This window comes from Homo sapiens, chromosome 14 (assembly GCF_000001405.40).
Source record: "Homo sapiens chromosome 14, GRCh38.p14 Primary Assembly".
NCBI classification, from domain to species: Eukaryota; Metazoa; Chordata; class Mammalia; order Primates; family Hominidae; genus Homo; species Homo sapiens.
Genome location: NC_000014.9, coordinates 100405304 through 100418696, shown reverse-complemented (window position 1 = coordinate 100418696; position 13393 = coordinate 100405304). Strand labels below are relative to the sequence as shown.

General features: G+C 49.0%; 1 protein-coding gene and 1 long non-coding RNA gene across 7 annotated transcripts in view, besides 2 other annotated features; both read right to left on the bottom strand.

Moving 5' to 3' along the window:
* WDR25 (WD repeat domain 25) overlaps positions 1-13393 on the bottom strand; it is a 153819-nt gene that overhangs the window by 111607 nt on the left and 28819 nt on the right. The window lies entirely within an intron of this gene.
* Positions 7830-8329: an enhancer, noted in NCBI's record as "H3K27ac hESC enhancer chr14:100876705-100877204 (GRCh37/hg19 assembly coordinates)". NCBI's record gives its function as "activates a minimal SCP1, AML or CMV promoter by ChIP-STARR-seq in primed H9 embryonic stem cells {active_cell/tissue: H9 hESC(primed)}" and the evidence as "EXISTENCE:reporter gene assay evidence [ECO:0000049][PMID:30033119]".
* Positions 8330-8831: an enhancer, noted in NCBI's record as "H3K27ac hESC enhancer chr14:100876203-100876704 (GRCh37/hg19 assembly coordinates)". NCBI's record gives its function as "activates a minimal SCP1, AML or CMV promoter by ChIP-STARR-seq in primed H9 embryonic stem cells {active_cell/tissue: H9 hESC(primed)}" and the evidence as "EXISTENCE:reporter gene assay evidence [ECO:0000049][PMID:30033119]".
* Positions 9768-11739, bottom strand: LOC105370664 (uncharacterized). The gene is made up of 2 exons (XR_944204.3): positions 11052-11739; positions 9768-10570 (listed from the first exon to the last, which is right to left on the bottom strand). It is a non-coding gene; the product is annotated as an uncharacterized LOC105370664 (long non-coding RNA).

Sequence of the window (13393 nt, the reverse complement as noted above, 5' to 3'; positions counted from 1 at the left end):
TGAGACTGGCAGGCTGCACTACTGTGCTGTTGTGCAAATTTTTCACCTTTTTTTTTTTTTTGAGACGGAGTCTCGCTCAGTCGCCAGGCTAGAGTGCAGTGGCACAATCTTGGCTCACTGCAACCTCTACCTCCCGGGTTCAAGCAATTCTCCTGCCTCAGCCTCCCAAAAGTAGCTGGGACTTGTACAGGTGTGCACCACCACGCCCAGCTAATTTTTGTATTTTTAGTAGAGAAGGGGTTTCACCGTGTTGGCCAGGATGGTCTCCATCTCTTGACCTCGTGATCCGCCCACCTCGGCCTCCCAAAGTGCTGGGATTACAGGCATGAGCCACGGTGCCCGGCCAAATTTTTCACTTTCAATAGTTGCATGAAAGTCAGAAAGGCCAGTGCTAGGTGACATTGTGTGTATCATGTACAAAATCACAGGCAGTGTGGATATAAGACGTAAGAAGGCAGGGCACAGTGGCTCATGCCTGTTATCCCAGCACTTTGGGAGGCTGAGTGGGGGGTGTGGATCACGAGGTCAGGAGTTCGAAACCAGTCTGATCAACATGGTGAAACCACATCTCTACTAAAAGTACAAAAATTAGCCAGGCGTGGTGGTTGGTGCCTGTAATCCCAGCTACTCAGGAGGCTGAAGCAAGAGAATTGCTTGAACCCAGGAGGCAGAGGTTACAGTGAGCTGAGATGGTGCCACTGCACTCCAGCCTGGGCGACAGAGCGAGCCTCCGTCTCAAAAAAAAAAAAAAGACATAAGCAAACTAAGAACAACCTTCATGAGAACCTATGAGCACATGCACAAGAGCCTAAGTAGCCAGGCCAGGGCAGGAGGAACAGGGGCAGCATGACACGCCTGTCCACAACAGAAACGATGGAAGGCTAGGAACAGCTCAGGGTCACTGCAGCCAGGAAGAAGTCAGGCAGAAAATGCGATGTCAGCCCTGTGTCTGTCTTGCAGACCAATCACACAGTATCAAAGTAAGGGCGATTTGTGCAGCTGTATTCCTGACTCACTCTCCAGAGCCTCACTGGCAGAGACAACAAGGAAAAGGCTCGGTCTCTAGCACCCCCATCCGCAAGCAGAGGTAATGCTCAGGCAGCTCTCTCCCTCCCTGGAGGAGGAAGGTGACTCGCAGTAGCCTCAGAACTGGAAAGGGGAGCCACCAGGGAAGAGTGGCTGGAGCAACCAGCCTGGCTGCTCAGGGTCTTAACAGGATGGTGGGGGTTGGAAGGGGCACCTAGGTCATGGGAAAGAGCCTGGCCCCACACATGGCTCCATCTCCCTGCACCCTCGCCTGACCACCTTGGATCTGAGATACTCAGTCCCACAAATCCCTGAGTGGCTGGGAGACTGAGAAGTCTGCAAAGCATGTGGCATGTGCCAAGTGTCCTACTAAGCAGCTCCTCCAGGTACGGCTGCCTCTCTCCCTGAGCTAGTGTCAGCACCAGGCCTGGCACAGGAGACACGCACAAGTAACAGATGGTGAGGAGATGAGCGGAGGACTCTGGCCATGCCACACACAGCACAGCAACCCTAGGCCCATAGAGAAGGGAGGGGCAGGGCCCAGGCTCGGCTCACCAAAGCTTGGCCCCTGGCCTGTGGTAGTTGGATTGCCCCTGGAGGGACTCTTTCTCCCAAAGCCATATAATTCTGTTGAGTCACTAGTTTTCAGGAATACTGTGACTTCTGAATCATCCACGCAAGATCTCACCCCTGGGCTAAGATGGGCCTTCCAGACCAAGGTTTGTGAGGGTGACTCTCCCTGGGAAAGGTATTGACACATTTTCTCCTCAGTTCAAATCAAGTACCTCATGACTGTGAAGTTACTGGGTCCCATAAGTGAGCCCCAAGTGCCTGCTACAGAAAAGTACCCTACAGTCAGTAACGAGCACCAAGCTTCTCCCTGGGCATCTGGGGACGATGGTCCAGTGCTCCCTCCCCAGTGAGCCCAAAGACAGAACACTGCCGGGGCACAGCCCAGGTGCACATGGTGCTACAGCAACACAGGCCACACTGCCATTTATGCAGTCTGGAGACAAGGGAGAAAGGCAACCTCAAGGAATGGGTACAGAGAGAAGGGGACCCTTGAGCCAAGTCCAGGGGGATAAGGAAGACTTTGCCTGAAAAGAAGGAAGGAAAGGGAAAAGGCCTAAAAGGGTGTGTCATGTTTGGGAAAGAGCTGGAAAGAATTCAAGGCACACAGCAGGCAGTTTGTGATAGGAACAGAAATCGGGGCAGGGTGAATGGGCCGGTGACATGGGTTGGTTTGCATCCCGTACTGTTTGGGCTGCAACCTGTATTGTAGTATGAGGGCAAACAGCAAAGTTTTTACATCAAGGAATGACAATCAGAGTTGAGAATACGTAATAATAGAAATTACAACAGCAGTAGTCACAATTTGGGCATCTACGATTACCAGGAACTATACCAGGCACTTCCCTTGTACTGCCTCTTACTCTTAAAACAACCATGAAAATGAATACCCTTCACAGGGAGAAACCAAACGGCAGCGAGGAATGAGATGAATTTGATAAAGAACTACCTCTAAGTAGAGAAGTCACAACTCAGTGGCTGATTGGACAGCAGAGGCTGAATGACACGTGCTCTGTGAGGGCTAGAACCATATCTGGCTTCCCACTCTATCTGCTGCCCCTGGACCTGACACCTACTAGGTGCTCAGTAAAGATTCAGGTGGCAGTGCACTGACAGAGATGCAGAAGAAAAGAAGGACAGCGGCAGAGCAGGGAGGACACCAGCTGTGCCAATCGTGCTTGGCAACCAGAGGCACTGTCATGAACTGTGTGGGCTTTGAGACAGTACTCTGCTAGCAAACTACCAAGTTAGCCTGCCACAGCTTCATACATACTAGCAGAAGGCATGAGATCCCTGGGTCAGAGACTGAAAACAGTTTATTACTCACAGCAGTAGTAGTAGCCAGGGTAACACTGCTGCACCAGTTCCCTAAGCCCCAGTTCCCATAGCGATCCCATGAAGGCAAGGTGTTACCTGTACACACAGTGGGATGCATTACAGAGAGGAGTCCTGACATTAGGATGCCCCAATCTTATATAAGCAGCTGCTGGTAAACCTGCCCAACCTCTGCTCCTAAGGGAGACATTGTCTTTGTTATCCTGGAATAAAAATAAATCTGTTCCAGATAGAGATGCTGTCTCTACTCTCCAAGGCTGCTTGCTATTCAAACATCCTTGAAAAGACAGGCCAGAGCAAATCAGCTGTTCGTGGCTTGCTCAGAAGACTGTGCAGAAATATGACAGACCCATGGAGAATTGTGCAGGTACTGTGCACATACGACCAGCATGCCTACGTACCTCCCATACACATATGACTTTAGACTGCCTATTGCCCATCTGAGCCATTTCCTCCCCTTCTCTGGTTAGTTTAGAAATAAAACTAATATTTCTTTGCCTGTCTTGCTGGACAGAATAGAAGTGAGCCTCAGAGAAATTAAGTTAACATGCTCAAAGCTTCCTGGGTCTTCTCTTTTCCATGAGTAGCACCATCTCATCCTTAGTAGCTTAAGCCAAAACCTGAAATCATCTTTGACTCCCAACATCATCCAGTTCATCACCAAGCTTCAGTCATCCTGTCCCCAACCATCCGTGAGAGCTAGCCCCTTCACTGTCCCCATCATCCTCAGCAAGCACTGGCCTTGCTCACCTGACAGCTGCCTCTGCCCCCTTGCTGCTCCCCCTGCTCTCACCCCAGCCCCTCGTGACCTATTCTCCATCTAGAAATAAAGGGACCTTTTTTTCTTCTTTTTTTTTTTTTTGAGATGGAGTCTTGCTCTGTCACCCAGGCTGGAGTGCAGTGGCGCGATCTCGGCTCACTGCAAGCTCCGCCTCCCGGGTTCACGCGATTCTCCTGCCTCAGCCTCAATAAAGGGAACTTTTAAAGATGTAAATAAGATGGTGTCACCTCGTTGCTCAAAGCAGGTGGTTTCTTACAAAGCTGAATACACAATTACCATATGAGCCTGCAGTTCCACTCCCAAATATGTACCTAAGAGAGATGAAAACATGTCCAGTCCACACCAACATTCATTTAAGAACTACCTCTAGGCGGCCGGGTGCGGTGGCTCATGCCTGTAATTCCAGCACTTTGGGAGGCCAAGGCGGGCAGATTACCTGAGGTCAGGAGTTCGAGACCAGCCTGGCCAACATGGGGAAACCCTATCTCTACTAAAAATACAAAAATTAGCCGGGCATGGTGGCATACGTCTATAATCCCAGCTACTCGGGAGGCTGAGACAGGAGAATTGCTTGAGCCTGGGAGGCGGAGGCTGCAGTGAGCCGAGATTGCACCACTGCACTCCAGCCTGGGTGACAGAGCAAGACTGTCTCAAAAAAAAAAAAAAAAAAAGAACTACCTCTAGGCTGGGCGCGGTGGCTCATGCCTGTAATCCTAGCACTAGCACTTTGGGAGGCCAAGGCAGGCGGATCACGAGGTCAGGAGTTCAAGACGAGCCTGGCCAACATAGTGAGACCTCGTCTCTACTAAAAATACAAAAATATTAGCCAGGCGTGGTGGTGCACGCCTGTAGTCCCAGCTACTAGGGAGGCGGAGGCAGAAGAATCACTTGAACCCAGGAGGCAGAGATTGCAGTGAGCCAAGATTGCACCACTGCACTCAAGCCTGAGTGACAGAGTGAGACTCTATCTCAAAAAAAAAAAAAAATGAACTACCTCTAACGGCTCACTAGAAACAAATCAAATGTGTCCATCAACAGAAGAATGGATAAACAAATTCTGGTATTTTCATGCAATGGAATACTACTCAGCAATAAAAAGGGATAAATGGCTGAACGTGGATGAATCTCAAAAACATTCTGTTAAGTGAAAGAAGTCAGACACTAAAGGCTACGCCCTGCATGATTCCATTTACATATTTCATTCTAGAACAGGAAAAACTATTGGGTTGGTGCAAAAGTAATTGCGGTTTTTGCCATTCAAAGTAATGGCAAGGCCGGGCGCGGTGGCTCACGCCTGTAATCCCAACACTTTGGGAGGCCGAGGTGGGTGGATCACGAGGTCAGGAGATCGAGACCATCCTGGCTAACACGGTGAAACCCCATCTCTACTAAAAATACAAAAAATTAGCCGGGCGTGGTGGTGGGCGCCTGTAGTCCCAGCTACTCGGGAGGCTGAGGCAGGAGAATGGCGTGAACCCGGGAGGCGGAGGTCGCAGTGAGCCGAGATCGTGGCACTGCACTCCAGCCTGGGCGACAGAGCGAGACTCCGTCTCAAAAAAAAAAAAAAAAGTAATGGCAAAAACCGCAATTACTTTTGTACCAACCTACAATGAGAGAAGCAGATCTGTGGCTGCCTGGGGCTGAGGTTGGGGGTGGAACTAACAGATGGGCTGATAAAGGATACCCAGAACACTGTGGGTCAGGGGAAAGGTTCTGTGCCTTGATTGGAGCGATGGTTGCATAAGTATACAGGTTTGTCAAAACTCATCTGACAGTGTACTTACAGGGCTGCATTTTATTGTTAAGTTATATCTCCATAGAGTTAATTTACCTTTTTAAAAATTAAAAACATTCAGGCCAGTTGTGGTGACTCATGCCTGTAATCCCAGAACTTTGGGAGGCCAAGGCAGGTGGATCACTTGAGGTTAGGAGTCTGGGACCAGCCTGGCCAAAATGGTGAAACTCCGTCTCTACCAAAAATACAAAAATTAGCCAGGCCTGGTGGTGGGTGCCTGTAATCCCAGCTACTTGGGAAGCTGAGGCAGGAGATTCACTTGAACTCAGGAGGTGGAGGTTGCAGTGAGCCAAGATCGCGCCACTGTACTCCAGCCTGGGCAACAGAGCAAGACTGTCTCAAAAACGACAACAACAAAACCATTCAGCAGCTTTCCATTTCATTCTGAATAAAACCTTAAGGCTTATTGTGTCCTACCAGGGCCTTTCGTGATCTGGCCTGCCTGTGGCATCAACCCCATCTCAAAACACTCTCCCCTTTGCTAATATCCCAAATATAAGGCAAACCACAGAGACATTACCCATTTTCCCAACAAGAAGATTAAAAACACAACTGAAAGGTTAGAGACAAATACCTAAACACATATACATGTAGAGACGTTGAAGAAACAACTGGATGTCTGTATTTGTGTTTAACTTATTAACGTAGACGCACATGCATACTTACAATCACTTACTACAAAACACAGAAAGACTGTATATTTCCACTGTCATCTCATGAAGCAACTAAATGCACCTCTCCCTAGACGTCTCCAAGAGCCGTGTTTTCACCACTCCTAAAGACACGTTTCTAGGTCTACTAAAGGGAACCCTTGAGATTGAGGGCAACAATGATTCCTGAGCACCTAATACCGAGCACTGCCCTCAGCACTTTCCGTGCACCATTTCCTTCATCTTCACTAAACCAAACACGTCAATACTATCACCACAGTTCCCGAATAACGCACCAAGGGATAGTTTACCTTTTTTTTTTTTTTTTTTTTTGAGACAGGGTCTCACTCTGTCACCCAGGCTGGAGTGCGATGGCAAAATCAAGGCTCACTGCAGCCTTGAACTCCTGGACTCGAGTGATCCTCCCACCTCAGCCTCCTGAGTAACTGAGACTACAGGAGCCCACAACCACACCAGGCAAATTTTTTCTATTTTTTGTAGAGATGGGGTTTCACCCATGTTGCCCAGGCTGGGATATTTTACCATTTTAAGGGAAACAGCAATATCTGCTAGACAACATGCAGACTGCTAGCTGAGGTTTCAACATTACATTCAACATTAGATCTTTTTGCATTTCTTTAGATGACATCATATCTCTGCAAAGCTGAGTTTTCAATAGTTGCCGTGATAAAAAGCAAAAACCAGGCAGGGCATGGTGGCTCACACCTGTAATCCCAACACTTTGGGAGGCCAAGGTGAGTGGATCACCTGAGGTCCGGAGTTTGAGACCAGCCTGGCCAACACGGTGAAACCTTGTCTTACTAAAAATACAAAAATTTGCTGGGTGTGGTGGCGGGTGCCTGTAGTCCCAGCTACTAGGGAGGCTGAGGTAGGAGAATGGCTTGAACCTGGGAGGCAGCAGTTGCAGTGAGCCAAGACTGCACCATTGCACTCCAGCCTGGGTGACAGAGCAAGACTCTATCTCGAGAAAAAAAAAAAAAAGCAAAAAGCAAGTGAAAATCAATGTGGAACAGACCATGAGGGTGGCAGCATCCAACCTACTTCCAATGTTTGAGAACCAACAGGTGTTGTTACAACATAAGTATTTAAGTTGTTTGGTCCTCACTCCTTAGTAAACAGGACTGTTAATTAAGTTGTTTGTTTTGGCCTAGGAGTGCTGTGAAAAATGTGACAGTGGCACTAAGGGAATTGTGACCCAAGAGCATGAGACCCTCTGTACTATTTTCTCTGTTTTACACATGGGGAAACAGAGGCACCTTGGGGTTGCTTGCCCAGCATCACAGAGCTAGGAAGCTGGGGTCTGAGCCTAGCACAAAGCAACATGGCCTTCAGGAATGGATCTACCATTAAATGGCTTACCAGAGACTATTTAAATGTGTGATGGGTAAATATTTGAAACCAATTATGTTCTGGACAAAGTATCAAAAGATCTGCTTTGCCAGGCAGGGTGGCTCACACCTATAATCCCAGTACTTTGGGAGGCTGAGGCGGGCGGATTGCTTGAGCTCAGGAGTTCCACACCAGCCTGGGCAACATGACGAGACTCCATTGCTACCAAAAATACAAAAATTAGCCAGGCGTGGTGGTGCACACCTGTAGTCCCAGCTACTCAGGAGGCTAAGGTAGGAGGATCGCTTGAGCCCAGGAGGTAGAGACTGCAGTGAGCCATGATTGCACCACTGCACTCCAGTGTGGGCGACAGCGTGAGACTCTGTATCAAAAAAAAAAAAAAAAAAATCTGCTTAAACTTCGCATCCAAAAGTGAGTGTCCTGTAGTTTAAGAAAATTCTAAAAGACCCAAGTATAAAGTGAACACTCTCTTTATAAGGAATAATCTGAAGACAAATCTTGCCTTGCATTCCACCTCCTGCCACACACCAAGCTCTTCTCAGCCTCGGCACGGGCTGTCCTCCGTGCAAGGACGGACCCATGTCTTCCTCAGGCTTCCAACCTCAGCTTGCATGCTGTCTTCTCCCCTACCCACCCAGCCATTTTTCTCCATTTCCCAGGAAATACCACTGTGCAACTTATAATTACCCTGTTAATTAACTGATTTATTAGACTGTGAGCTAGGTATTGCTGGCCCCTCACATGGTGCCTAGTGGTGGGTACAATTCTCGATGTTCTCTCCACCCCCTGAGCCCACAGGGTCAAGAACTAAACACCAGCAGCATGGGGGAGCCGGTCCTCTGTATCCTCCACCGTCTCCCTGGGAGGCCCTTGACGCATACACCCTCACTCCAGATTCCAGAGCATATGTAAAAACCTCAGGAAGCCAGTTCCCAGAGAGCTCCCTAGGCCAGGGACGAGCACTGACGTGTTTGACGAAGGGAGCGCTGGCTTTTTCCTAATCTCAGTGGCCACTGCCCCCAGAATCACTTTAACAATAGAGCTTTGACTGTCTCCCTCTGGAAACTCAGATGGGGTTTGGCCAAGACTATTCTTATTTTAAAACACTTATTTTCTGAAATGGTAAACTTTTGTGGCTACTGAAAACAATTAAAACCAAGAGAAATCCATAGAGAGATGGAAGGGGGTGAGTAATTATTATCAACAAAACCAATGAGAGGGAAAAAATGTATTGGGCCAAAAATCTAATAAACTAAGTATGAGAATTCTGGAGCAGCTCTGCAGGAAGCAAATTACTCTTCTGCATCTTCACAGACAATACACGCGAGAGGCAATTTATTAACTTGAGCCACATTGGCCTCAACATTAACCCATATCCCTAAAGTACTTAACTCTCACCCAGGAAACTGCTTACTTAACTTGCATTAGGACACACAGGGCCAAGTGCAGGTTTGCTATTCACAGCTTCAAATTCAATTTAAAGGGATCCCTGTTCCAATTTCCTGTAGAAAGTTACTCCATGTTCTAATACATCAGTGTCAGGAAACACAGCCTTTACTTAATTTCTTCTCAATATTCATACAACCAGGGATCACCCACAGCAATTTCTCCTCCTTTGTGTGCCTAACAGCAATGATGGGGCTCTTACTTTTCATCTTTTCAAGTGCCAGGTGCTCTGAGGTGTCCCCTTCCCTCAAAAGAGAGCCCTTTAAAGACCCTCGATCAGCTTCCTGGGATGGGTGGGGGGGGGTCCTCTGCATGGTGACATAGCTTGTGACAATGGCATTAAAGTTAAAATGCCAATATTCCTAACTGATTCATATACTAAAAGGCAATGCAGGCCTACAACGCATGAAGACCAGCCCTAAGCTACCACATCACCTTGCGCCAGACACGCTTAACCAGTGGCCTGCAACTCCTCACTTGTAAAATGAGAGGCTGGAGCCGGATCACTGGGTCTCCAATTTGATAAGCTCAAAGGCAGCCCTGTGAGAAGGCCCAGTCATGAGACAGAAAACGGCAGAGTTGTTTGGAGGGAGGAACCTGGGAGTGAGTCTCAAGCTCCCCAGATCCCCCACCCTGGAGGCAGCCTCTAGAAATTTCTATGAAGCCCTTGGAGTCCCCAGAGCACAGGCTGCAACCCACTGATCTCAGTTATCTCGACAAGCACCTCAAATAAAATAAGTCTAGCGCTCCACATCTCCTTTGCACAGGCAAAACATTCCTAATAACACTGTAATGGAAAAATAATTCATGCATTTTATTTCCTATTTAATGCATTTATGTATTTTCTACAATGAGCATACATTATTTTAATAATCAGAATAAAATAAACATTACTAAAGGGAAAATAATTCACATAGGTTTTTTCAAAAACAAAACACCCAAGGCACAGAAAAGATGAGCCGGAAGGTCTGCGTACTCTTCTGGCGTCATATACTATCATTAACTGCAAATTGCTTTCGGCCCTTCAGAGGAGAAAAATATCACAAGTCTTTGGAGAAGGTCTGATGAGTCACCAAACACTTGCGTGGCTCTCAGCTGCGTCACTGAGTCCTATGCCTGCCTGCGTAAATATTCACAACCCCACAGTTCGTCCTAGCCTTCAGCTATAGAGACTGGGGGGAGCAGGGATTGGAGGGGGGCACAGAGGGGGCGCTGGAGGGAAAAGAGACAGCACTGAGGGCTGCAGACCATCCCTAGAGAACATGGCCTTCTGTCATCTCAGGTCTCCTCCACCCTAACCCCTCCACACAGAGTTGTGCAATATTGAAACTCAATATATGTAAATTAAGTGGGTTCTCAATAAATACAGGAGTTTCTAAGCCCCTAAATTGTAATTACATTGATACTGAAATTGTGGGAATCTACAGTGAAGGAGGGGAGCAGTGGGAGAGTAATCTAAAGTTAGGGGTAACACAAGCATCCCAGTCTGCCTGTCCTGAGGCCTAGATTATCACAGGAACGTCCGATGAGGTCTCCTTAGGGTTTTTCTCTCCAGTTTTACACACCGCTTCACGCACGTTCCATGGCTCCCCGTTCCTATAGGAAAAACTCCAGATTTACCCACATCCCTCAGAAGTCCCCAAGCCCCCACGACTATAGGCCATTACCATCACCACACTCTCCATCCCAACCCCCGCCCCCAGTGCCTGGTGTGCAGGCATCTGTGCTCTGGCTCTCACAACCCCTCCCCTGTCTCCAGGGCCAGTTCTTGCACCCTCTCCCACTCCCATCAGGATAGGAGTCAAGGGTCATTCCCACAGCTCACTGTGACATATGTGTCTGGGAGCCCAGCACACTCACAGACAATACACGTGAGAGGCAATACACGTGAGAGGCTCCTGAACGGGGACGGGCTACATCTCCAATCCCAGCTCTAATCTCTGGCACCCAGACTCAACCTAGCCAAACTGGGTGTCAGGGCCTGTTTAGGCACTGAAGTGTGAAACTATGGTCCCTGTTCTTAGTAATTGTATGCTTTGGAGGACAGCTGCCTCCCAAACCTGCAGAAACAACATACCCAGAGCGCCAGGGTGCATGTAGTCTACAGGTCTTCCTTGATCTGCATGCCATAAGAAGCCTCCAGCAGCTCCCCTGGAAACGCACCGGCTTCCCACAAGGGCACACTGACAAAGGGGGCAGAAGGGCCTAAAACCATCCATGAGCCCCACACACAACTGCCAGCCCCGTCCAGAACCTGATACCCAACACCCAGAAGGCTGGCCTCACTTAGCTTCAGCCAGACCGACTTTCTAGTCCCCATCTCACCTGAGTTGGGAAGATGGATAGGGCTTTGAATTAAAAGCTTTCCCTCACTGCCTCCTGGACTCTGAGAGGTATGTGAGCCTGAGAGTAAACAGGGGGGTTATTAATGTCAAAGGAGGACAATTACCCCAAAAAATGTGAGCACATCAATAAGAATCTGAAAGCAACTTTTCAGGAATATAGGACACAATGCAAATTAACTGTCTGAGCTCTGAGTATATATCATCACCTAATCTCTCAGAAACTCTCCGGTTACTATTAAGATGTTAACCGCAGGCTCAGCCCAGGCATTGATCTTCTTCTCCTGGAAGGACTTCAGCGACCTTTGTCTTCTGGGCTCAACTCGCTCAACAGCTCCTTGAGGCTGCCCTGGCACGGCGGGGTCCTTCTCACACCTGCAGCCTCGCTCCTGCTCCGCAGCCCTCTGCCCAGAGAGCAATTCTGAATCCCAAGAAGGAAGGAAGAAGGGAATGAAAGGAGAAGGGGGGCCTAGCCACAGATTTACTGCCAAGTCTTTAAACCACATTTCACATCTGCCAACCGCCCTGGGGCCTGCCCCTTATTTTTCTATCCCCATGGTGTGTCTTTCATTCACTCACTCACTCTTTCACAACACAAATGTCTGTCCAGCACCTACTCTGTGTCAGGCAGGAAGTGCAGGGTGTGGCCCTGACCTTGATCAACTCACAATCTGGGCTCCCACAGCTGCACACATGTGACAGGCCGAAGTTCTGAAGAGGCACAGGGAGCAAAATGTGTGAGGCTGAGTAGCGCTGATTCCAGCTCTGCCACTTGGTAGCAATGTGGCCTTGGACTCTGATCATTGGACAAGCCACCTAGGCAGGACTTGGTGCCACTGTCTTGCTGCCATAAGGGCATTCCCCACTCAATTCCTGGCTCTTCACACTAAACAAAGATACTACCATCTTAAGTATCAATTGCTTCAACTGCAAAATGGAGATAAAATGCCTAAAAGTGACTCCTATGAAAACTGAGGCTGTCCGTGTGAAGATCCTGGCACACAGCAAATGCTCGAGTAACAGCAGCACTTTGCTTGAATTGTGCCACTGACTTGCCCTTCATACCCCTCCTGAGTACATAAGAATGGCAAACACACCTGCCTATGCTCCTCAGCCAAACCCACACCATCAATATTCAACAGTCCAACGGGCCTCCGAAGCCGACTGCTCCAGGTCCCAGTGCTGAGACACACATATCAACGTCAGAAGGAAGGCTTTAACCCTCCCTTCTCCATCCTCTGCTTTGAACCTGGGCCCCACGTGCCTGACATGGGCTTCTGAAGCCTCTAAGCCTTGGGGAGCCTGTACCTCTGTCCACCACACATCCCTTCCCACAGCCCTGCTAACCATCTTCTCCGAAGGCAAGCCCATGGAGCACACCTCCATTCTGAGCTGGACCCAGGCCCAAAAGTCAAGAAACGGATTGATTGCATCATCATTTTGAGCCCCATGTAGGCACCTGAGAAACTCAAAAGCCTATGCACAGCCTGGCCCTGTCTCCAAATGGCCAGTTACAGAGAAAAACATCCAGGTGGGTTTCCTCGGGAGTGGCGTTTCTTAAGCACTAATATCCGCCCTTCCCCAAAGAGAACTTAAAGCCAAGGCTCCTCCAAGCCTAATCACTGAGAGCTGCTGCCAGGAAGGGCGACTGACACACCAATCCATGCGCCACAGAGCTAGGCCCTGCAGGCCACCCACCTCCCGATGGCCAGCTCTGCTTCTGCCCTTGCATGTTTCTGTTAGTGCTGGCCTCCAAGCAGGCTCCCAAACAAAAACAAAAGCAGAGTGCAGCCCAAAATGAGATTATAGTGAAGACATATAACAGAGTTACTGATCCTCCAGGGGGCCCAGCCTCCCTCCCCATCCCCTGCACCCCAGCCCCATCCTAGGCCCCAGGGTGCCTATAAGATGGGGCAGAGAGGCCAGGCATGGTGGCTCATGCCTGTAATCCCAGCACTTTGGGAGGCTGAGGCGGGTGGATCACCTGAGGTCGGGAGTTGGAGACCAGCCTGGCCTACATGGACAAACCCCGTCTCTACTAAAAATACAAAATTAGCCAGGCGTGGTGGTGCATGCC